Here is a 26,797-nt window from a genome sequence, read left to right as displayed (position 1 = left end):
TGTCCTAATATAATTTTAAATCTTTTACAATTATAAGTTGTTATTAGTTTGTTTGCTCTATTGGTCTTTTCTGCTTTCAAGCTTTGATGCCATGCTTAGAGAAACCTTTTCCACTCACAAATTATATAAATACAATATATATCTTACATTTATTTTAAGTATTTGTATGAGTTTACTTTTCTACATTTAAATCTTTAAATCTTTTCCATTTGGAAAATATTTTGGGGTAAGTTGTTAAAAATGCATTAATTATTTTTACAGCTATACTTGACAAACGTTATATACTATTTGTTCAATAATTCAGACTTTTTTACTGTTATGAAATAAATTTATCATATATAAGTCCTATCCTGTGACTTAGTATTTTTTCCTGGAAATTCTATTTATTCTATCAGATTGTTTTCTCAATATTGACAATAGTGCTGTATTGTTTTTATTTTTAAAATTTATATTTTTATAGATGGTAGGACAAGACATAAAATTACTTCTCTTTTGAATTCCTTTTTGTTTAGAAATTACTTGGCTATGTTTAAAAGTTTAGCCTTCTATGTTAAATTATATAATAAGTTCTCAAATTTTGCAACAAATCCATAGTTTAGAATTTAATTTGAGGAGAAATTTATATCTTTAAAATGGTAAGCTTTTCCATCCAAAAATATGATGTGGATCTCACTTTCTTCAATATTCATTTTATATCCCTTAGTAGAACTTTATAGTTTTCTTCACATGGAATTAGAGAATTTCTTTTTACATTTTTTCCTAGATATATACTTTGGCTGTTATATTGAATAGAATAGCTTTCTTTATATTTTTAAATGTTATTGAACCTTTAATGGGAAGATACTTATTTTTGTGTATCTGTTTGGTAATCACTTACTATATAATATTTCATTATGTGTTCTAATGGCTTTAAAATTTATTGAACTTTTTATAATCTAAAAGTAATGAAATTTTTGTTCAATTTTTCATTCCTTCTACCTACTTTTTTGGTCTTATTTCATTGACTATAATTCGTAACCATTTTTTTTTTTTTTTGTAAATAATGCTACTAGAGGGCATCCTTGCCTTATTCCAGTCCTTAATAGAATCCTTTTATTGTTTGTTCAGTAAATATAATCCTGGCTATTGTTTCCAAATATGTATTCTTTATCATTTAAAAAAGTCATTAAATTCCTGGTTTACTATGTAATTGTTTAAATCAAGAAAAATATTGAACTGCATCAAATTTTTTTTTAGTATCTGTCAAAAAGATCATATAGACTTTTGTGAACTTATTTATTTGGTACATTATATAAATAGATTTTAAAATATTGAACCATTCTTGGTAGCATGAATCTGAAGAACTTATTAAACAATGACAACACTGAAAAAGTTTAATTTTTAGATTTTTAAAGCTGAAAACCACACTCTGAAACAGAAAATTCTAGGATACTCAAGAAGTCAATAGGGCTTCATAGACAACAACCTTATTTTGTTGTGATATAGCTGCAATATATGAATATATATTGCTATATATGAATATGTATAAAATTACCGAGCTTTTTTCTTCACATAAATATTATATGGGATATTGGATATCTAGTACATTTTTGACAGCTGTTTTGTTTCCATATTTATTAATTGATAGTCATTATGTTTGTGTAGTAAATTTTAACTTACTGTTAATATAAAAGATAAACCATCTCTAACCTAATATTTTGGTAGTACTTTCACAACTTTCAATAAAGGATTGTATATTACAGTAAAAAAAAAAAAGGTAGCCAGGAATAAAAAGATAATGAATGTTACTTAGTTCTTTTTCTTGTTTTCTAGAAGGTGTAACTTTTAGAATGGCGTATTTCATATAAGGAACAATAAGCATTTGATAAAATAATTTATTGTGTATTTGTAATTATGCAACAGACATTTAATACAAATGGGTTGATATGATGAGAGAGAATATGAAATAAAATTGGAAAGACTTATAAAACAATTATTATATAAGTAGAGAGTATCTGTGATAGGCTAGGGATTTTTCTTTTTCTACTTTTGAACATTTCTTTTTGTGGGTTTTAATTTTTAATTAAAGAGACATTTAGCCAATGGTATTGCTCTTTTCCAATATGAAAAAATACTACACTTTCGCTTTTCTTGGAGTGAGGTTTCTTGGCGTAACTGACATTTTGAGCCAGATAATTTTTTGCTGTGGGGCTGTCCTGTGTATTGTGGAATGTTTAGCAGCATCCCTGCATACCTATTAGATGCCAGTAGCACCTTCCTGTTGTTAACAACCGAAATGTCTTCAGACATTGCTAATTTCCGGTGGGGGACAGAATTGCAACCCCCCTTGAGAATCACTCCCTTACCATGAGACTATAATGGGGAACATATTCAAGGATCCGTTTAAAGAAAGCCTTTGGGCAAAATGAACTGGGTAATAGATTAATCTGCTATTTACATAGGCCTGCTCATACTAAGGGTTTACACATTCTTTTCATTACTGTACCTGCCTTTGTCCTTCTCTGTCTCCCGCACGTGGAAGCCTCCTTTTTTCCACCCTGTCTCTTATTCTTCCCTTGATTTCAACACCCTTCTCATATATGATGTAAAATCTGTATTGCTTTTTAAAAATATATAACACTTGTTAATAACCGGGCATTTGGGATCTCCCGGGGCTTACACTATCAGCTGCCGCTTTTCACTGCATTGTGACCTATAGGCAAGACTGAGTTGTAGAAACGGGACTGTCCGGCCGGGCGCAGTGGCTTACTTACGCCTGTAATCCCAGCACTTTGGGAGGCCAAGGAGGGTGGATCATGAGGTCAGGAGATCGAGACAATCCTGGCTAACACGGTGAAACCCCGTCTCTACTAAAATACAAAAAAATTAGCCAGGCGTGGTGGCAGGCACCTGTAGTCCCAGCTACTCGGGAGACTGACGCAGGAGAATGGTGTGAACCAGGTAGGCGGAGCTTGCAGTGAGCCAAGAGTGCGCCACTGCACTGCAGCCTGGGCGACAGAGCAAGACTCCGTCTCAAAAAAAAAAAAAAAAAAAAAAAAGTGGGACTGCCCATGCTCTTGGTAAGGATCAGTACTAAAAGCAACAGTCCACTAAGGGCACTGACAGGATGCCAGGCTGCATGAATTATGGAGCGCTTCAGACAGAGGCAGGGAGGGGAGCAGGTAACTTCTTTACTCTTTTATATTAGAAATATAAATAACTTCTTCCAGTTGAAATCTAGTTGCAATGGAGGAAGCCACGCTAGTGAAAGATGGTCATCTTATCTCAAGCCCTTTATTTCTGCCCTTTCCAAAATTTCCATTGAAAATCCAAGGATTACAAAAATGAGACAAAAAACATTTTTGCACATATATTTCCATTGCCTTCCAAACAGTCTTACCAGGTTTCTGTGATTACTGGGAGAGGTAGCCACGCTCACGTTCTGCTGGAGAAAAAGAGGAGGTTGCTATAAGTGTTTAGATGCTTAGCAATAAGCATCAACAAATTTAGAAATATTTCTCTCCTTTAATCCTGATTGGACTTCTGAATTTTGTCTTAATCAAATAAAAGCCAAAATAACAAAAGTGTACAAAAATGTAGTTACAAAACTTTCATTTTAATACAGTTTATGACAGCAAAAATCAGAAACAACCTAAATGTCCTGCAATAGTGGATTTTATAAATTATGATATGTATATTTAGAGACAAACTATGCTGTTATTAAAATTATATCAGAGAAAAACTCTTAATAACAAGGGAAAGTGTTTATAATACATTAAGTGTTAAAGCATACTATCAAATAAATTTTGTAGAGAAGTTTAAACTCTATGGATACATGATACAATATAATAATTATATAAACATTTTATGTTAATAGTTGTAATCCCTAGGTGGTACAATTTTATGTGATTTTATTTTCTAATAGGTATTTTATAAATTTCCCACAATAACCATAGATTCTTTTAAAAATACAAATAAAGCAAAGGTTTTTAAAATTTAAGAAAATTTGTGGGAGACTATGAAAGGAATTTCTAATGATAGGTATTTGTGAAATACTTATTTCAATTATTCTCTTTTAAAAGAACATGAATTAAAACTTTATTTGTATCTCACATTTTTCAGTATAGTAAACACACACACACACACACACACACACACACACACACACACAAAGAAACCAAACCCTTCTGTTACTTAGGAAGTGTTAGGAAAAGTATTAAATAAAACCTGAGAAAAAATATATACCAGCATTGTAATTGAGAATGTTCTGTGGTGAGTAAACAAATTATTGTTGGTTTTCTGACTATAAGAAAGGAAAAAATATATATATTTAAAAAAACCCATTGGTTTGTAGTCTTGAGCAGAAGTTCTTCTAACCAAAAGCATGTGAATATAGAAGAATTAATGAGCGTTGGAGATTCTATGCTTTATTCAGGAAAAACAATCCAAATATGTAACAGGACCCTTGAGATTTGGCAGTCATAATGATGCACCCATTTGTCCTTGACATGACGTTAACTGGTCCTCAGAGAGTGTCCAGAGAGAGACAGAAAACAATATTAGAGAAAAGTAGTATTCAGAGACAAAAGGGGGAGAGATGTTTAAAAATATGCTCTCGTCATTGTGAGGTAAAAGTGAAGTATGTCAAATTATCTGAGCCTGTTTAATTTATGAGATCATAGGTTCATAATGTAATAATGCCACAAAATTGGATATGAGAGAAAACCAAAGAAGTGATTGAAATATTCATAAAATAGAAAAACTGGTTTCAAAGATAGCTGTATGCCATGATTTGCTATTTTAAGTCCACGAATGTATAATCTTACATGTTTTCTGCCCATTACCTTTGTATCTTAATTTGTAATAGGACACTTTCCTTGCGTGACAAAAAAACTGTCTCGTTTTAAATTTACAATCATCACTTCATGTCAAGTTCATTGAATCCATGCCTTCCCTGACTGCACCTGCATCAGCAGGGAAGTAGAGCCCTGTGACAGCACTCCAGAGCAGCACTCGCCAAATCCCATGCAATAAAACCCTCTAATCCTGGGGGATTTACAAGAAAAATACAAGACCTTGTCAGATCTAGGAGGGAAATGACGTACACAATTGCTTCATCGTGGAGAGTCTAAGCGCACATCAGTGTAAAAAGCTCTGAGCTGGTGAAGACCAAACAAACTTTGCTTAACTTAGTTTAACCTGGATTTCTCAAATATTTGTGCAACAGAAATCTTCTCTCCAGCAATGCATGTTAACATCCTGTGGGCTAGATGTCCTGTGGTATACAGTTTAGAAAGCACTTGTCAGGATAATTCAAACCATAACAAGGTCGTTTAATTATTAAGACAATTAACACCATGACAAGGTAGCTTAATTATTCCAATTACTTGGCTGAAAGTGTTGTCCCACCCCACAAGGTCAGAATTACCATCAATTGTTATGCCATTTCACACTCTGGTCTAAAGTCAGACCTTGGTTTCTGTACTTTAAAAAATATTCCCAGGAAATTAGAATGCAATGTTGGCTTTGGGAATCATTGCACTGGATTTAGAACAATGCCAATAGTATCACCAATATCTTACTTCTTCAAGAGATCTTCTGTCTTTTTTTCCTATTCTTATCTCTTTATCAGTGCCTGCTGACTGGCTGCTACGGAGGTGAATATACCACAAGAAGGCTAAAGAAAGCTTTCTGGGGAGTATATTCAACAAGGCTAGCTGTCAGTTTTAAGTAACAGTGGTGGGAATAAATCCTTACCAAGTAGATCAAAAGAGCTAGTAGGAGTGAACAGACAGAAGTCCGAGAGTAGGAATCTTTATTTCTGGTAATAAATTCACGTAGTTTGGTGACCTCATGTCTCATGTCTTCCCAACTACTGTGCATTTTCTGTACAGGTCCTGTTTCTACCCCTATATTCCTCCCTTTGGTCCTGGGGCAGACACCCTTCACCCTTCCAGCAGGGACCTCCAAACTACAACAGTTGTGCCCATCTCTGCTTCCACTATGCCCTGCCTGCCACTAAGGAGTTGCTGAGTGCTGTACATATAGCAGGGCCAGATTTATTCAGATGTGCAGAGAAACTGAGGTTTCTTTACTTCCTATGTATGACCTGACCTTCATGAGCTCACCCTGCTGGGTGATGGGGCAGTTTGTGTGTGTGTTTGTGTGTGTATGTATGTATGTATGTATGTATGTATGTAAGGGAGAGTGTATTAGTCTGTTCTCATGCTGCTAATAAATATATAGCTGACACTGGGTAATTTATAAAGAAAAAGAGGTTTAATGGACTCACAGTTCCACATGGCTGGGGAGGCCTCACAATCATGGCAGAAGGCAAAAGAGGAGCAAAGACATGTCTTACATGGCAGCAGGCAAGAGAGCATGTGCAGGGGAACTGCTCTTTATAAAATCATCGGTGTTCATGAGACTTATTCACTGTCACGAGAACAGCACGGGAAAACCAGCCCCCATGAGTCAATTACCTCTTGCGAGGTCCCTCCCTTGACATGTGGGGATTATGGGAGCTACAATTCAAGGTGAGATTGGGTGGGGACACAGCCAAACCATATCAGAGAGACAGAGTGAGAGAGAGAGAGAGAGAGAGAGAGAGAAAAGAGAGAAACTAATAATAATCCAATTCATGAAACCACCCAATCTAGCAATTTAAACATTCTTTTTAGGTAACTCACTTAAAAAAATGTAAATGCTTAGACTTTGAGATTTCTTTATTCTGCTCGCTGTTACTCTCCAAGACAGCAGGGTCTTGTATTGTCCTCTGGTTCCTCTTGACTCCATGGTGATATCTCTTGTCTGCTTGGTCACAGGAAGTCTTAGTGACATCTCTAGCTAATGTCTGGGACTGCCTTTCTCCCCACCAGCTTGTCCCTGTTCAGCTCCTCCTGGCACTATGGATCCAGCTGAGGTCTGGCTGTAGCACCTATTTGATCCCTGACCCTCTGTCCCTCATCCATGGCAGTGCCCCTAATAATCCCTCCAGTCAGCACTATCAGCTGCTTCCTGTCCCTTTGCAGGGCACAGGGGACCTCTGAAATCTTCCTCCTTCCTGCCTAGGAGCTGAGGAAGATGCAGGTGGTCTGAACTGTGGCCTTCCTCTATCTCAGATGCAGCTGTTTTTAATCTGATGTAACCATCTTGGGTTTGTGTAAGGGTGTCCTGGGAGTCACCTTGGAGGTCATCTCTTTACTGAGTTTAAGAAAAGGAAATGGGGCTAAATTCCCCAGCTATCCATTCTCTCCTTGCCCTGTCTAACAATCTCTTGCCTCAGGACTTTGCCCCAGAACTCTGATGTACTTCATAGACACCACTTTCCTGAGATTCCTCTTTCCACTGCTCCCTGGGGGTTCTCGTGGTGGGAATGGCTGTTGGCAGGGGGTATGGGGGAAATATAAACACAACATACTCTTCTCTGTCACACATCAGTGCATTCAAGTGGTAAAAATCTCTGCACTAGGCGGAACTAGGGTTTTAGGTGACAGAAGTCAAAATGGTAGATCACCCAGGCCACAGGTTTTAGCTTTTCACCTCTGATTCCAATGGAATTTCTTTTCTGAGAAATATGTGAATGTGGGGGCTGAGAGAGAAAGAAGGAATCTGCACCTGGTCCACAGCAAGTAATAGCAAATAGCCCAGAGCCAAAAGTCACACACAGACATGGCTTGGTGCAGATGGTTCATGGAGCCATATGTGTGATTATGAATTTTAAAGACCAGCCTCACTTCCAGCAAATATGCTTATTTTGTTCTATTTACACTAGGGCTGGACCAAGTTCAGCCATTTTTCAGACTTCATGGGAAGACCCATAATTAGGTGTCACAGCTGTCTGAGCTTGCCTTTGGCTCTGTCAGGCTGTGGACAGGGCAGATGCCCCTCTCCTGTGACCCCAGAGCACGGAGCATCACCTGGTATGGAGAAAAGAAGACTCCCTCTCAAGAAACACTCGATCGATAGCGTAGCTGTGAACACCACCTCTGGAGCTTTAAAAATTCTCACGTACACTTTGAGAGAGTCAGTAGCAAATGTTGAACATTCTATGATTCCCTTGTTGTCTCTTTTTACTTTAAGAGAGAATCATTTAAAGGAATTGTTTCTTCCTCTTTCCAGTCCCCAAGTCAGAGTCTAAAGCTCAATAAAGCTCATTGGAAAAGAATTCTTCTTTTTACACACAATGATAGAATATATTATGACACCATGTAGGTTCAAATATCATTTAAAACAAATCTTACAAAGTATGTTCCCAGATTTAAGAGGTTTTAGAAATGCTAAGCGAGGAAGTCCTGGTACAGTGGAGGCTCATGCTGTTCTTGAGGGACAAACTCCAAAGCACTAGATAATACTTTTAAAATGAACAGATTACCACCGTGAACAATGAGGGGTTGTTTGGGGCAAGTGGAGTGCTTTGTCCAGATTGATTCAACAGTGTTTGTGGCTATTACTGCTAATTCTTCTGTAAATCAACTCTCCTTGTAAATTGTGATAGAAATAGCTAACAGAGGAGGATTTTTTTTTCTAAATAGCTATGGGAGTTGGTCCTGTATTAGCGTTTACCTTGTGTCACTACCTGAGCGATATCAAGCTCATATTTTTAACCACAGAGAAAGCCAGAGCTATTTTAATAGAACTAAAAGTGAAAGGAGTCCCATTCTTCATCTACAAAGAAAGGGAGGTGGTGCTGGCAAGTGAGATGGGACTGCATAAGTAAGTCTTCCCAATTCTTCTTTTCTTTTTCTATTAAATATAGCACAAAATGAAAAAGCTTTAGGCTTTTGACACGTTCAGTTATTAGAATATACTGGAGCTGACCACAAACGACAATGAATTACTGGTTCAGATCCCTCCCCTTATCCCACCCCAAAGCTATTACAAAATGATGTATAGTTGGAAGGAAATTGAATGGTAATTACATTGAATACAAACTTGAAATGTTAATAATATGCAAATTGTTTTCCTACTTATTGGAAATGACTATACAACAAAACACCGTCTCCGTGACCTGTGTTTTCACACCCCAACTTGTCTACCCTCACTCCCTCACTCCCTTAGTCCATAGCTAGCTCTAGATTTCATTCCTTTCATTTTTTTATGGAATCGACTCTTATTTATTTTTAAAATTTACTTTTATTATAAGCTGACAATAATTGTATATATTTATGGGGTACAATGTGATGTTTCAATACCTATATAGATTGTGGAGTGATTAAATCAATCTAATTAACATAACAATTACCTCACATACTTCTCATTTTTTATGGTGAGAACATTTAAAATCTACCCTTTTAGCAATTTTGAAATACATAATATATTATTCTTCACTATAGTCACCATGCTGTGCAACAGATTACCAGAACTTATTCCTTCTGTGTAACTGGAACTTTGTACCCTTTGATTAACATCTCTCCTTTCCCTGTTCACTCCCTAGAGGACATTATGCTAAGTGAAATAAGCCAGACACAGAAAGACAAATACCACATGTTCTCATATTCAGGATCTAAAAAAAAATCAAACTTTTAGAAGCAGAACATAGAATGGTGGTTACTAGAGGTTGGGTGTGGGTGTGTATATTAATTTCATTCTTTACAACCCCTTCATGGCCAGCCTGCCATAGTGAAGCCACCCTCAAATTGAAACAAACTTCTGAGAATGAACTGAAAAAGGAGAGGGAAGATGCAAATCGTGCTTCATATCTTAGAGTCCCAGGGGATCACTGCCAGTAGAGGTGTAATTAGTGAGCCTTTAGTAAAGTCACTGGGATTCTTTTTCTCTCACCGTTTTAGTGTGGTGACCATTTGCTAGCATCTGAGTTTCTTCAGTTGATCCTGAGAACCTCCATTTGTCTTTCCCAGGGTTTCCTCAAGGCATGAGTCTGGTTCTCACCAAGCTCCAAGCATCACTGATTATAGCCCTCACTGGATGCTCTCCAAAGTCATCAGACACAGTTAGTAGCTCACTGGTGAACATTTACCCCTAACTCTCTTACTGCTGCTGAGGCCAAGCCGAAGGATCTGGAGGACACTAAGTAGACCACTATTTAAGAACAGAGAGACACTTATAAAACCAGCTGGGGAAAGGACAACTATGTCCAGCCTTTTGTCATCAATATTCCATTGAGCTGGATAACTGTGTCCCACTTTTTAAAACTAAATGTTTAATTTTGAGATAATTGTAGAGTCACATTATTGTAAGAAATAATACAGAGGAATTCCCATGTACCCTTTACCCATTTTCTTCCAATGGAAACATTTTGAAAAACTACAGGACAATTTCACAACCCAAGATACTGATATTAGCATAATCTACCAATCTTATTCAGAGCCCTCCAGTTTTATTGTACTCACGTGTGTGTGTGTGTGTGTGTGTGTGTGTGTGTGTATGAATGCATTTGGTTCTGTGCAACATAATTGCAAGTGTAGGTTTGTACAACCACCACCACAGTCAAGGTATAGAATAGTTCACCAGTAGGTTCCCTTTGTTGCCCTTCTTACACGTGTCTCCCTCTTCCTCTCCCTTCTCTCCAATCCCTGTAAACCCCTAATCTTGTCCTCCATTTTAAGAATATTACATAAATGGAATCATATAGTATATAACCTTTTGGGATTGGCTTTCTTCACTCAACATAATTCCCATGAGAACTGTCTCATTTTTGTCAAAATGCTTGGGAGATTATCTGATAATTAGGATGATTACGTTTCTTAGTTTTAAAGGATTTTAAAGTTAGAAAGTATCTTTAATATACAACATTCCATTTGACTCTTTCAAAGGAGCAGAAAGTAAAGGTTTAAAGGAAAAAACAAGTATTGGTGATAGGATTGCATTTTCTAGGTGGGGCAGAGATTGGCTGGATCTCCACTAAAACCACCACCTCTTCCTCTTGAGCCTACCACAGGACTGTGTTTTCCAGCTTCTCTCTTGGAAAGACGTAGTTAGGTGACTATGGCTTCTGGACAATTGGAAGTGACCAGGAGCAATCAGTTCCAGTTCCAGTCTGGTTCATAAAAACCTCTCGCACATGTCCTTTTGCATCCCTTTTCCTTCTGTGACAATCTTGGAAACCCATGGTGAACTTAGAGGAGCCACAAGGTGGGACAGACAACCCCTATTTAGCTCTCCAGGATTTCTTGACATTTAGAGTTCTGAGTCACAGGAGGTGTGGGAGCAGCTACTGTGCGCCTGGAGGAAGTGGAGTGGAGGGAAACAATAGCAGACTCCAACAGTTCCTTTCCCATCATTTCCTCCCCAGTGTGGTGGGGCTGCCTCCTGTCCCAGACCAAGAAGATGCACTGTCTTCACACACACATTCAAAGCGGCAGCCTCAGGTCACCTTAGAGGTTTCTCACGGTTTTCTTTGAGGTTTTTTTCCTATAATTTTTCTTGAGTTAATCTTAAGAAAGGGAACTGTGCCAATTCAGCATCTTGTTAGCCATTATTTGAAGGTTTTTAATCTATGAATTAATTTATTTATTTCTGTTATTATAAAAGAAAAAAGAAGTAGAAATGAGAAAAATGTAACCTTAGGTTTATCTTACCAAAACTTATATTTGTAGTATGGTAGAATTCCTGTGATTTTGCTGGCTGAGGGAGCTTTAGCTCCTCTGGATAATCATACCAACATGATGCAATTGAGGTTGAATGAGGAACTAAATTCAGAAAAGGAAAGCAAAGGAGTCACGGGACCGGGTTGACTATGAAGACATGGAAAGATGTGTCTTGACGTGTCTAGGCATGGGTTGCAACCTTCCTAAATCTTCCTGCAAACTTGCTTCTCATTTCTGCTCAGCTTCCTGTTCTCATTAGTGCCATTCAAAGATGTTTTTAGTTCTTCTCATTTCTTTGGTCTATTAAGACAGATGTTGAAGTGGCATGTTTATCAGCAGGCAGAAGTGACAGTGATTCTTTCCACATGAATAGCTGCAAATGAACACTGGCTTCTGGAACTTACCTCTTGGTAGTCTGTCAGGATCTTAACTGCTTCCCTCTCCCCAGTCCCCAGCATGGCCTGGGGTGGATTCTGAATGATGCTCTGGGTTGTATTTTTCATTCTTTTTTATTTCTTCACCCAGAAGAACAAGTGGGTTTTCATAATAACATCCTTTCCCAATAAGGTCTGCTCGCCTACAAACTTTGGAGAGAGAATGTTTACCTTCACGAAAGATTTTCTTAGCATAATTTGGAATCTTACTCTAAAAAAAAATCCGCTATGTCCTTTTAACAAAATGTGTGAGTTGATTGGCAATAAAAACAGGGGATAAACTGGTTTTTAAGAAACACTTATTTATAAGGCCAAGAATGACTGTTAGGGAGCTCCTTTCTAAAGTACTGCATTTGATAAGAAGTGCAAAGGAACAAAGTCAATATTATTGCTCAAAATGGATTAAAACTTTAACCCTGAGTCGTAACACCTTCTAGAGTACCATAAGAATAGAAGGCTTCTTTTGGACTTGACAGTGCATTTTGGCTGGTGTTCCCATGCAGTGAGCTGACACACTCACTTTGGACACACAGTTGCCCACATACTCTCACACCCACAAACATATATCCCCAAAGGAGATTCACTCTGTAGAGCAGAACAAGGAGGAGACTGAGCATGCAGGGCTCCTCTGTGGCATAGCTTCACGAAAACCAAAGGAATGGAAATATTCATCAGAAAATCCATGGCAACCAAGACAGAGTATGCAGTGATGCCCTTGACTGGGTATCCAAAGAGTGGGTCCCTGCATGTGGAATGGAACAATCACATGTAGAATAGGATAGTTCAAAAACAACTTACATTGCCTGTTTTCTTTTTTCTTGTAGCATGTTTTCTTGTCCACTTATGTTGTGCTTATATGAATATAAAAATACATATGCACATCCTCACACATACCAGCTGGATGTTGAAAGGAAGAGAGTTGGAATAGTGAAGTGGTAGAGGGACATGGGACCAGAATTAAATGCTTTATAATAAGTCTTGATATGTAGGATAGTAACAACAGTTTTGTTGTTTTACCACATCAACTATATTTCATTCTTCACATTTCTAAGTAAATTTTAGAATCGGTTTCCACCAAATGACTTGTGGTGAATTTGTTTGTAATTTAATCTACAGGTGAATTTAGGGAGAATTCATATTTCTAAATGTTGAGTGTTAAAATTCATGAGCATGGATTCTTCTTCCATTATTTAGGTCATTTAAACTTCTCTCAATAATATCTTACCATTTTCCATGTAGATGATTTTATATATTTTGTAAGATTTATTCCTAGAAACTGTTTCGTTTTGATGTTTCTGTGAATGGTACCATTTTCTAATTGTTTATTGCTGTTTATCAAGTGGCATTGCTAAATTCACCTCTTAATTAGAATAACTTATTTGCTGCTTTTTAAAGATATTATTTTTTTCCAGTCCTATGTCTATTATTTCTTCTTTCTTTGTTGAACTGGTGAAGACTTCCCATACAATATTCAGTAGATCAATTACTCTGATACAATTCTGTATCATTATTCTGATACAGAATTATTAATAGTTTACCTTTTTCTTATGTCAATTTTGATAAATTAATATTTTATGGAATTTTAAAATTTCATCTAAATTTTTAAATGTATCTTCAGAAAGGAATTTATGATATCCTTTTACCTTTCTAAATGTCCACAGAATCTGTAGTAATAGTCTCTTTTTATCCTTGATATTGGTTATTTATATCATTTCTCTTTTTTCTTGATCAGTCTTGCTTGACCTATCCATTTTATTAAGCATTTCAAAGACCCAGGTTTTGGCTTTGCTAATTATTTCTGCTGTGAGTTTGTTGCTACTTAAGTTTTGGTTTTGTGCTTATTTTTTGCTATTGCCTACTGTCTTTGGAGTAACTTGTTCTTCTAACTTCTTGAGGTGCATAACGAGATCACTTATTTTTAGACTTCTCCTTTTCTTTTTTTTTTTTTTTTTTTTTTTTGAGACTGAGTCTCGCTCTGTCACCCAGGCTGGAGTGCAGTGGCACAATCTCGGCTCACTGCAAGCTCTGCCTCCCAGGTTCACACCATTCTCCTACCTCAGCCTCCCAAGTAGCTGGGACTACAGGCACCTGCCACCACACTCGGCTAATTTTTTTTGTATTTTTAGTAGAGACAGGGTTTCACCATGTTAGCCAGTATGATCTCCTGACCTCGTGATCCACCTGCCTTGGCCTCCCAAAGTGCTGGGATTACAGGCTAGACTTCTCCTTTTCTAATATATTTATTTAAGGCTGCACATTTTCCTCTAAACACTGCTTTAGCTGCATACTACAAGGCTGTATGTTATTGTTCAGTTAGAATTATTTTGTGATTTAACCTTTGACCTATGGGTTATTTAGAAATCTATTTCTAAATTTCCATACACTTGAAATATTTCTAGCCATTTTTTGTTTTGGGTTCTAATCAATAACAAAATTGTGTTTCATTGTTGTCACAGAACATTATCTGTCTGAGTTCAATTACTTGAAATTTATTGAGAGTCTCTGTGACCCTGCACATGGTCAGTTTTGATTACTATTACATGTACACTTGAAAAGAATGGTGCATTCTGCAGCAATTTAGTGCAGTGTCCGGTCCATGCCAACTAGGTCAATTTTGTTCATGACGTTATTCAAAATCTTCTATAACATTACTAATTTTTTTTTAGTTAACAAGTTATGTAGTGAGGCATATAAAAGTATAGAAACATAAGTATGCACCTAGGTACTAATTATTTTTCTTAAGTGAAAAAGTAACTGGAGTCCAGTAATTTATTTCAATCCATGTGTGCATCTGCTTTAAGCAGATGTAATTAGAAACTGTAGAAGTAAAATTCTCTTTTATTTATAGCATTAACAAAAGGTAAAAGCTACATAAGTAGGCTATTCTTGCCAGTCATAATTTTTGTTGGCACTGTTCTTGTTTTTGGTTTGATGTTCACTCAATGAGGAAACCGCATGCCCCAAAACAATGTCTTTCCCAGAAATTCTTAAAAGCAACCATCCATACTACCACTAAACTCACGCATCACTCTATCAAATTTCCATCATGTGAGAGAGAGTATTCACACTGTGCTGTTCAGAGTATCAGACCAGCCTGATTACAATGGAAACATAGAATTTTCCATCTCACTCACTATGTGTGCTCCTCTACTCAGCTGCTAGATTGATCTTTCTAAAATGCCAATCTCATCATTCTGTTCCTCCATTTTAACATTCTCCAGGGGTTCCCCATTATCTCCAGGAGAAAATTACATTTCTTTAGCTTGAGATTCTAAGTCTACTGTGGTGTAGTTCCTACCTTCTTCTGTTTTATCTTTTGACACGCCCCTGAATAGATCCGAATAGATCTATTCTGAAAAGATCCGAAAAGATCTATTCTGAAAAGATCCGAAAAGATCTATTCTGAAAAGATCCGAAAAGATCTATTCTGAATAGATCTGAATAGATCACTGCCTTCAGTCTGCTCTCTCCATGCAGAGTCTGCCGTTTCCCTATCCCATCCTCTGTGCCTGGCTGACCCCTACGTGGCCTTCAAAATGGCTCTGGTCAACTCCACTGGGGAGGGCTTTGTTATTAGAAGATTCCTCTCCTCTGTGCTTTCTTAGCCCCCATCACACCTCTGCCATTTCGCTTACAGTACTGCATTGTGGGTGCTGGTTAGCTTTCTGTCTTCCCTACCTGAGAGAAGGCACTGCATTTCCCCACTTTGTATTCCTAGAGCCTATCTCTCCCAGTGCCTGCACACAAAAGACACCCAATGTTGAATGTTTTTCAAGTGTGGCCATCTTAATCAGCTGTCATTAATTATAGAAACAAACAATGGCCAGAAAAATGCTTGGGTGACATCATTGGATGGCATTAAAGCATAAGACTAAAAGTCATGTTGGGGCATCCCATTTGGAAGAGTTGTTTTAAGTTATTTCCTATGGCATTTAGGTAAGTGGCAGAGGACAGGAGTGACATGGAGGAGGCAGGTGTATGAAAAGGACACAGAGATGAGTATGCTGTTCGAATACATGGGTGTGATGAACTGAAATGAAGTTTTTTTAATTCAAATGAGTTTTTAGGGCTCATGATCCATTGGGACATGTAGAGAAAGTACTGTAAAAGATCCAGTTCTCTCTCATATCCTTTCAAACAAAACAAAGCCTTTCTGAGACAGCAGTACTTGTTGGTTACACTGGCATTTTAGGAGCTGCCCCCCCATCCTCAGAGGGAATAACCTTGGGCAGAATAGACAAACATGAGAAAGTATGTTTCCATAGCTTCTTTTTATAGTTCATTTTTATTTGTGCAAAAGAATGAAATTCTAGTAGGGTCTAATGCTCAACAAATGTATATGTTTTCAAGGCATAGGGTTATAGGGCTTTCTGCGACCTCACTGGGGTGGGGAATAATGCCTAGTCCAGTATAAGGCAGTTTTCTAAATTATAAAGTTGAACCAATAAGTTGCTTTTTAATGAAGCTCACTCCATTGGTCCTAGGAATTATCTTTGTGGAAAAAAAAGAAATATCTCTCCTCCCTAACATCCTTTTAAATTACAAAATACAGTGCTCTGGCCTTTCCTCACATAGTTCCCCTCTTCCAACACCTTTGTGCATCCCACATGTTGATTGGTGTGGGGTCAGGGGAAGTCAGCATCCAGGGCTCGCTCTGGATCTGAGGGCACAGGGAACTGAAGAGATTCAGTATCTCATCATATGCCTTGCAGGTAAGAAGCATACAGAAAGCAAACAGTTTACGCCAAGAAATGCAAGAGTCATGAAAAGATGCAATGGCTCATCCACAATGAAATTGCACACTGTCTTAACTGAAAGGCATCTTGCCAAAGTTGGAAGGCATAAGCACTTCCTAAAATGGTGTTGCACTTCTATACTGGAACTATTATCTGGCAGCTGCAGTGACAGAAATGGATGGAGTGCTGGAAACTATGAACATTCATTCTCTCAGAAGAGAAATCTTATTAATATTATTATTATTTGTATATTTTCCTACTTCTTTATCTTCCTTCCTTGTAAATTTATTTCAAATGCTCATGAAATAAATTCCCCTTAGGTGTCCAGACCAAAAATTCCCCTGGGTAGTATTAAAACACCAGATCTCCATCTTTCCCAAAATATAGGCTGCAGCATACCATGGGACCTGGCCTCTGAGGACATTTGCCTTTTAGATGGAATGGATTCACATGAAAAGCATCTAGACAACTTTACTAGGAAAACAAAGAAGAGCAGTTGAGCCCTCTGGCCTCAGCTAGTCTTTTCCAGTTGAACAAAAATACTTTATGACATGGGTATGAAAGATCCTGGCTAATTTTCAGACAACCCTTCTTAAGATAGATTAAGATCTAAGGAATACCTTCACTATAATGACAAATAGAGAGGGGTCCTTATTCTCATGAACTTAAATTGGCCAATGATAAAAGAGCTAATTTGAAACTCTTTTGCCCAAAGAATAGCCATTTCACCAAGAGGTAGGTAGGATATGGCAGGGCAGGGCTGGATATTCCAAATGGAATGGATAAAGAGCTAGAGAAAGGTGGGCTGAGGGGCCTATGGAGCATAAGCACCTGAACACTATGCTAAAGCTCAACAGAATTTGAAAGGGGCATCTGGAATCACTAGGCTTTGTGTGGCAGCTACATAAAGCAGAAAGTTGGCAGCTGCAGCTTGTATCTGACATGGGTGACACCCAAACAGGAGATGGGTATATACAAAGCTGGTCACCACTTAACTCTTTTTAACAATAAGTTCTTGTAGTCTTTCTATTGTCATGTTTTTTTCTTTTTAAAGAAACTTCTTATTGTGTTGATTTGGGCTTTTACCTTTGTTTCAGAGATCTATGGGTTTTTTTTGAATTGTATTGAACACACAGCAGATGCTCCCTAAAATTCACTTCTGTTTCCATTAGTGATTTTTTTTTTCAAAAGTGAATCCTTTCACATTTTGAATGCTGTATTTTCTTCTGTCTTTATTGCTGCATCTCTTCATGAATTTTTTTTCTGTTTCATCATCCTTGAGTAAAGAAAGGTGAATGTCAGCTGGGTGTTCTTCCATAAACAGAGTGACGGGTTGTTCTAGGTTCCCTCACTGTCTGCCAGGAAGTTGATTGAATCTTCTGCTCATCTCATAAGCTGGAAAGACAGGGTTACATATAAATTTCTAGTGCCTCCCACGCATCCAAAAGGTGCATTATTTCTGTGTCATTTCCTCTCTGGATCTGTTGAAACCACTTGGCTAGGGTTTTGCTTTCTATTTACAGCTTCCTGTTGGGTCAGAACTTCACACTGAATGCATAAATGTGACTGCCTAATGTCTGCCTGGCACCACTGGTGACTACATCAGGGAGAAGCCTCTGAATGGCTGATTTTCTGCTAATTGTGGCACAAAGCCTGGGTCTCCCTGATGGAGCCGATTTCAGTGCTACTCATTGGAACAGCTGAGTGAGATTCTAAGTGAAGCTTTCCCTGAAGGCCCCACTCCTCTTCTGGCCCTGGGGTCCCAGCCCCCTGATCACAAGGTGATATGAGGCCCCTTCATGACTTGATTCTCTCAATACTGTGCTTTCCCAGGAGTGGGAATTGTTAAAAATTAGTGGCTATACATCCATAGTCCATATAATGTCCTTAATAATTCCAATTATTTTTCAACTGATGAGAATTAGCTTTTAGTTTGTAAAAGTGGGAGAGGAAGTGTTTGTATGAGAAATAGGAGATTGTCCTAGTAAAAGGAGACGTGTCAGCTCATTTTCATGTTTAGTTGTCCTTGTATTATCAGCATTTTATTTTATCTGTCTCTTCTTTCCAGAATCTTTTTAAATTACTTGTCCATTTGGTACAGTTTGAGTTAGTTAAATCTAGGTCATGAATCAACAATCCATTTAACTGGAGACTCACGAATTCACTCCCTTGGAAGACCACTGTGCTTAAAGTTTTTGTTTTTGTTTTGTTTTCTGGAAAGGATATGAATGATAAATTTTGAAGTTGTTGACACCTGAGAATGTATTTATTGGCTTCTTATGTACTTGGTAACTCTGTAGATGTAGATATAAATGTCTTGAAGTTTCCCATATTATTCTCAAAAATTGGTACTGTTATTAAATTGCTTTTTGATGTTTGACATGATAGAAGTAGATGGCCAGGACAATTTTTTGTTACTTTGTAAGTATTATATTTCATTTTCTCAAAGATTTTCAAGTTTGTTTCTTTATTCTTTGAAATCAAAAATTACAGTAGCATACATTTGATGTTTTCATTTACTTTTAAAAAATTGTATTTGATCCCTTTTCATCTGCTTATACAGGTTTTACTTTAGCCTAGGAAAACTTATTCAATTAAAGCTGCTTCTGTTGTTTATTTCCTAGGGAAGTTCTATTATAGGTAGATAGGATCTTCTGGCTTTTACTTCTATTACTCTTATAATTTTTCTCATCATTTTCTTGGTTTTTGTCATTTCCTCTTAGGTTCTAGAATTGAGATGGATTCTACTAGAGTTACATGTCAGTTCCTGATAGAACCTGTAAGCCCCAAATGGAGAGAGGCATTTTTAAGAAGTTTAATTTTACTCTTATGTTTGAGAGTAAACTTTAAAAAGTCTAATTTTACTTTCATTTTTGAGACTAAACTTTGAAAAGTTTAATTTTACTCTCATTTTTTCGTTTGGGAGTCCAAACAGCCTAGGGGATAGCTGGGCACCTTGAGGTGAGAATCAGAACTGGAGGCAGACTTAGCCAGGAATGTGTTTTGCTAAAGAGCTTCCAATCCTTATTTGGAGCAGCAGTCAGAGCTCCCTGCTGCTGTCTCCCCATTCTTTGGCAGGCTGGCTATCCTTCTGTGTGAGTGACTGGCATGCCCTTCCCTGCCAACTCCCTGTCTCGTGCTGCCTCTGAAATTCAGAACTCTTCCCAGTGCTGCTAATGGCATTGCCAAGGCTGACCTTCACCTCCAAGCCTGCAGGGGCCTCTGCTGATTTCCTTTGCATATTTCCGTTTGATATATTGCAGATTCGTAATTCAGGTAGATACTACCTGAATCTAATGTTATTTGTATTTTATATCATTGAAACTCCTGGAAATTATTTTATGGTTGACCCTCTTGCTTACTTTTTAAGGTTGATCCAAGATTTTTTCTCATTCTTTATTGTGGGTCATTTTCATGCAAATCAGGAAGGGAGTAGTCTATACCTTGCCATGAAGGCAACCTATTTGAGGATATTTTGATGTCAGGAAGGTGAGAACAGATTGCGTATACCAACGGGAAGTGGAGATTTGACAATCATTTTAAATATCTTGCTAGAATTTTTCTCATTTGGTTATCTGTGGTGATCAAAGTCATTGAATAATGACAATAGCTATAACGATTGCCTTTTCAAAGAACAACCGAGTCACATACTCTATATCAATTTCATTTAATCTTTAGGTCAACTTTAGAAATTTCATACTTTGCTCTTCATTAAGATAACACTCAAAGATGTTACATAACTTACCTAGGGTTGCACAGCTAATAAGTTATGAAGTGAGCTTCAAACCCCAGTTCGTCTTCAAAGTCTCTACTCTTTTCATTGCTGGTTATCAAACAGCCTGAAGAGTTGCCCAATCTCCAAATCTCTGTGGTATTTACAGTATTCTCAGTTACCGCATGTTGATCATCTGTAGTCATTTTATTGTTCTCATGAATACTAAGTCCTCTGTGCAGATAATGTTCATATAAATAACAGAAAAAACATGTTTTATTGCTTCTCTTGTATAGTCTGGAATTCCTCGGTTTAAAATCAATCCTCATATTTTCTTTTCTTTTTTAACTAGGGTATTTATCTCCTCTCAGAGTGATTTTTTCTGTCCAGTAAAACAATTTACTTTCATCTATTCCTTCTGTAGCCCTCTTGTGGTTCTCAGTGGTTTATATGTTTTCATCTGTCTTGGGACATGCCTGGGTCATGGGGCTGCCATTATCTGGGGCCACTGCTGGACCAAGTGCCTTCAACAGAGCAGAATCTCAAGAGGTATTTGGTGATTTTGCTGCTGGTCAGGCTTTACTACATCCACATAGAACAAAAAAGATGAAAATTTGAGAAAAAGCAAAATCATTGATAATTTAGGATTCATAAAGATAAAAGCTAGCTAGAAAGTATGGTCAGTGCCTGGTTGGAGAGAAATTTTTTCTTCTTACTTCACAATGGCAAAAATGTATACATTTATTTTATTACCTGCTCCTTTGGTCCCATAATTATTTTCCTTTCAGATGTATCAGAATAAGTGAGAATATTCGATGACTGTAAAATGTATCACCATAGTTGTAGGATTATTCTTTGTTTCCTCTATTCTAATGAAATTATGTCTTTTTATTTTTCTAGATTACGGTCTTTGGTCAAACAATTAGAGAGAGGGGAAGCTTCAGTGGTAGATCTTAAGAAGAATTTGGAATATGCAGCCACAGTGCTTGAATCTGTGTATATTGATGAAACAAGGTAAGCTAAAAATAACAAAAGAGATTAGTATAGTGATAGTAAATTTTCTCTTAAATGGCTTTTCTGAAATTGTCCCCCATGCCAGGAATGGGGTGACATTCAAATTACTCATCTTTGAGTTTTAGTTTCCACAAACAAAGAGGATAGATTTGGACAAGTCACTTACTCTCTGTACCGCCTCATCTATAAAAGGAGCTAATAGAACAAATCTCATATGGCCGCCATGACAAGGAAGTGAGATCATGAAAGAGGAGAAAAACGAATTTTTAAAAATCCACTAAGATTTTAAAAATCAGATATAGAGCTCCATTGTAATTATTGTATGTTTTTAGTGTTAGTCTAAAAATTGAGTTTATGTTTTAATTCATAATGTCCATTAGTAAATGGAGGCTCCTGAAGTGATCGAGAAGCATGTGTTCTCTTAAGCACCCAGCATTCCCTCTTCAGTCTTACGTATGTCGCTGATTTACTTAGCAGGTTTATTCCACTTGAATTATCTAAACGTATTAAAGCGGTTTCAGTTACTACATACGTTTGAAAGTTATAAAATTGCATTTCTTTTGAAAAATGTTGAAATGTTGAATACGAAAGGTGTGGTTTTTTTTCCCCCTAATTTAGACAGGCTTCTCTGTCAGTATTTGTGATGTCTTTTATTTGCCAAATTCCAATCTGAAAGTATTTCACAGTAATCTAAGATTTGTATGGTTTACTATTATTATTATTTTGCTGACACACTTGGTTTCTAATTTAAGGAAATTCGATATCATAGCTTTTTTCCAAATGTTATGTTTCCTCCGCTTACCTCCACCCCAATTGGTAAGTCTAAAGGAAAAAAAAAATCCAAACACCTTTACATTGGCAGCTACTTTTACTGATGATTTTTAGTTGGGTTTACTGTAAATATGACATGCTATTTTAGGTTTTATTTTAACATTGCTCTTTGTGTTCGATTCTAGTGGTCTGACCTATGAACAAGTTTGAAAAATCAGCAAAACACAGCTATTAGATGATTAAATCATTGTGCGCAAATAAAGAACTGCATTATTTTGAAAATTTTCCTTGAATTTAGACATTTAAATTTTGGTAGCAACCTGGAAAGAATCTTAATTGTCATCACTTAGGATCACTACTTCAGAGGACTGGGTTGCTGTGATTTGGTAAATACTTTGCAAAGTCTCTTAAGTATCCATTTATATTTTTAAACAAAATAACGTCACATGGTCCATCTATGAAATAATACAAGGCTCCCTGTGAAGGCATTTTTAAATAGAAGGTTTAAATTTCACTCAAATGCCACAGAGTGCTTCTGGGTACAATGGACCAGTTCCTTTGTCCAGTCTGGTAGAGAGAACCATCCTGAAATATCAGTGGAAGCCAAGACCATCGCGAAACACACATGGCGAGCTTACATAAGCCTTACCAAAAAGGCACTGTATTTTTTGTGGCCAATTTAATTTGGTTTCTTTGCACCTAACATGCAGGTGAGGCAGAGAGGAGCAGCTGCTTTGAACAGAGAGCTCCAACTTCAGATTTAATCTCAGTGTGCTGATTCTGTTTCTTGTGTTCAGGAGACTCCTGGATACAGAGGATGAGCTCAGTGACATTCAGTCAGATGCTGTGCCTTCTGAGGTCCGAGACTGGCTGGCCTCCACCTTCACGCGGCAGATGGGGATGATGCTCAGGAGGAGCGACGAGAAGCCCCGGTTCAAGAGCATCGTTCACGCAGTGCAGGCTGGGATATTTGTGGAGAGGTAAAGATGTCATTCATTGTCATTTAGTGACTAAAGCAGCCAAAGCAACACGTTTCCAATAACTGGAAGCTTTGCTTTAATGTAGTTTTCCTATCTTTATAAATACTGAAAATTGTGGGTAGAAACAGATAGTCTTGAATGAGAAATGGCAAAAACATATCTATTTTAATCTCTGTAGCATCATTAGGAAAAGCTTTTGCTTTTGCTCAGAATTTTTTTGTTTACCAGAGAAGATTTAGTTTGAGTTCAGTCTCTAATTTTTAAAGCAGGAAATCATCTCATCTATCATCTTTTGAAATAGGTGGATGATGTCTCCATTTGAAACAGATCTGGGATGCTTTGAGGTTGCTGGCCCAGGGAAGACAGTTCATTTCAGTGGTTTGAAGTCCCCAAGACACTTCAGTTTTATTAGCTATTTTACTCTTTGAAATCAAATTGACCTCCTTACCCAGCAATAGATTCCAGAAATAGATATATTCTTCCTATAATCCTTATAGTGTAATTATACATTTTAGAAACACCACGGTAAGTTTAAAGATTACCTGGGACATTTTTCCTTCTTGTTTTTGACAGTTCTAAAGAACAAGCTATTCTAAATGGGTTACCCATAGGAGTTCTTCATTCAGGCTAAATTACTACTCTGCTTACTGTCTATTCTGTACTATAATTCACTCTGGCGGAAGAAGTGACCCATTTAATAATTCAATTTCCAGTCTGGGGCCTATAGAGTTAGGTTTTTTTTCCCCCATGGTTCATATGTTTGGGATTGCTTTAATTTCTTTTGAATTTAACACTTAGACCACCTGAGTGAATATTAAAAATGTCAAAAAATGAATTTTAGGTTCTTTGGATCACCCCACTTGACTTCTTATTATTTGTCAATACTTGGTATGAGTCTGTGGATTACAAATCCTACTTTATAAGATATCATGTTGCATTTTTCCCTTTTGGCTTTTCAGAATGTATAGACGGACATCAAACATGGTTGGACTGAGCTATCCACCAGCTGTTATTGAGGCATTAAAGGTAATACGAGTGAAAAGATTTTACAATGTACATGGTACCTAATAAAAAGTAGAGTTAAATTTGTTAGAAAATAAGAGGCTTTCATTTACAGTTACTTTTCCAGTTATTCCTGACTTTATTCTTTCATTATCTTTTTATTATTTGTTCTAACAGTATCACTGTCTTTTCACCCTTCATCTTCCCAATTTAAAAACAATCAAACTCTGTGTGGGTTTCATTTCTTTCTAGTACTCTAGAGTAGTTTAGATTTTATACAGTGATCTGTCATTATGAGAGTTATCTGATTTTGCCATACGAGATCAAATATGTTATGGCTGTAAGTATTCAGCATTAGGAGGATCTTCAGTATTTGCAATTGTCCCATTATCTGATTACCTACTCCAAGTCCATTTTATAGATGAAGAAACCGAGACTCAGCAAGATTTAAAAAAAAAGAGTTAATTAGAGACAGAGCTAATGTTTGATATCAGAGTTTTCAGCACATGGTAAGCTCTTAGTAATGTTTTACTGCATGAACGTATGGCCTGAGAGCCTTTGTCCCATCTATATAGCCCATTGTTTTCCAAAGACTCTCACTGAGCCAAATGTTCCCATGGAAGTCATACAAATGCTTGAGTTTAAATGGGCTAAATCCTGCAGAATTACCTCTAGTCAGGCAAGTTCTTGGAATTGTATAGAATATCTCCAGCAGCCCCAAAGCAGATGCATTCCTGAAGGCATTGGTCTGAGGGTATTTGAGATTTGCTAAACTTGATTTGGCTTCTGGATTCCAATGTGTTGCTGATCCTGTAGCCCAAGATCACTGAGTTTGTTGACATCACATGTTGTCTATGTATGGACTTGGGCCATGTGCTTAGGGACATTGTAGCATTTTGACCTTTGCTAAAGCCATTGTTTTCTTTCTCCAAAACCTGAAAAAGGTGATATTTTCAGAAGCTAAATTACCTATTCATGGAGTTAGGGGGTGGGGAGTGCTTCTTGATTAATTTAATGTCAAGAAAGAGCCCCTTGGGACAATCTTGATTATGTATTCATAGGCCTTTCTCTTGTCTCAGAGACATTTACTAGCTGAATTTGAGAGACCATATATACACAGATTCTCATTTCTCCTTTGTTTGTCTCTACCCTTTCCGTCTCTTCTTACCTAATCTTAAAAGCAGGAAGGATACTCAGGAAGGACCCAGCAAGAAGATGTATCTTTTCTCCCATTCCTCTTTAACCCCTAATCTGATGCCCAATACTTCAGTGTAATGTACAGTGATATTTCCCATTTTAATCAGTGAAATCACTTCAGGAAATCTGATATTTCTTAACATCCACTATGAAGTTGTATTAATTTTCATAATTGAACCTGAATGTTCAATCAAACTCTTAGAAACATTAAAAGCATCATTATTGTCTTTAATTTTTTCCTTTATCGGGAACATAAATACAAGAGGGTATACTGGTACCAAGACATTTACGAAAATGTTTCTTCCAAATTGAAGCCTCTTTTCTATCCAAATTGAAGCCTCTTTTCTATGCAGAATAACTGAGAAAGAATTGGAACAAACTGTGATGTGCATGAATTGTTATTTTATACTTAGAGAAAAGAAAATCTCAGATGCACACATGTTGTCTGAGGGGACAGGTACTTAGATTATTCAGATAAGGAAGACCTACTAGCTCTCTAAATAAATTGCTACTTCTCCTCACATATATTGTTGATATGTGCATTAAAGCTGAAGCTGCTATTTCTCTTGGCTATGTCCCCTGTTTACTGGGGAAGTTCAAAGCTTTTTACAATGTAATGTTTTTTCCACTTCTCCAGAGGCTGATTTTGTTTGCAATGAGTTGGAGCGATCACAGATATAGACTCTTTTGTTTCTTTCTTTATGTACTACATGTTAGAAAAAAGATTATTTCCACTTCATTGCCAGAAGTTCATATGGAATCATTACTGCTTTCTTTTATTACAGAAATTTTCCCTAAAGACTGAGAGAATACAATTCCCTAAAATAACCCTTATGCTACTGTCATGTTAACCTTTGTGGTTAACGTAAGAACATGACATAAAATGATATTTAAGTAAGATAGTAATGAATCAGTCTCTAAATTTGAAACATGTTGCATTATGTTATTTTACTTTTTCCATTATATATATATATATATATATATATATATATATATATATATAGATGTAAGCTTCTAACTTGAGGTGTTCTACCTCTTGTCTTCTGAGATTAGCCTAATGGAAATGTAGCTGTGTGCTCTTCTTTAGAAGGGCATCTGTTTTGTGACTCAGGAAGTGACACCTTGGAAAGACTCCAGGCTTAAAGTGGGAGGAGATGAGGAGGTTCACGCTTCCTTTGTGTTAGACTAACAGGAAGTTCCTGCAATTTCTCTACAGGAAGTGTCCTTGGGCAAAATTTGGTGAATGAGGAAGAATGGTTGAAGGCAGTTAAACTGGGTACTTGTTAAAAATGCGGATTCCAGGCCCCACAGCAGGATTCTCTGGAGTCCCCACTGGAGGGTCCATATTTTGGCCAAGCCCCTCAACTGGTTCTGAAGAACATTAGACTGAGAATTACAGCTAAGCCTTCCCTAACATGAGGGA

The 26,797-nt window shown here is 37.1% G+C and overlaps 1 protein-coding gene across 27 annotated transcripts in view; it reads left to right on the top strand.

Moving 5' to 3' along the window:
- The window catches only part of PDE1C (phosphodiesterase 1C), an 811,448-nt gene that overhangs the window by 526,054 nt on the left and 258,597 nt on the right, over positions 1 to 26,797 (top strand). For all 27 annotated transcript variants that reach the window (XR_001744802.1, XR_001744803.1, XR_007060044.1 and 24 more), the window contains 3 exon segments: positions 21,311 to 21,424; positions 22,993 to 23,175; positions 24,135 to 24,201. Coding sequence is in view for 21 of the 27 variants with exons in the window: in XM_047420443.1 (XP_047276399.1) it covers positions 21,311 to 21,424; positions 22,993 to 23,175; positions 24,135 to 24,201 (364 nt within the window). In the remaining 6 variants the exon portion in view is untranslated.

This window comes from Homo sapiens, chromosome 7 (genome assembly GCF_000001405.40).
Source record: "Homo sapiens chromosome 7, GRCh38.p14 Primary Assembly".
In the NCBI taxonomy this organism is placed as follows: Eukaryota; Metazoa; Chordata; class Mammalia; order Primates; family Hominidae; genus Homo; species Homo sapiens.
The sequence above is the reverse complement of the archived record's forward strand: the minus strand, read 5'-3'. Positions and strand labels throughout refer to the sequence as shown.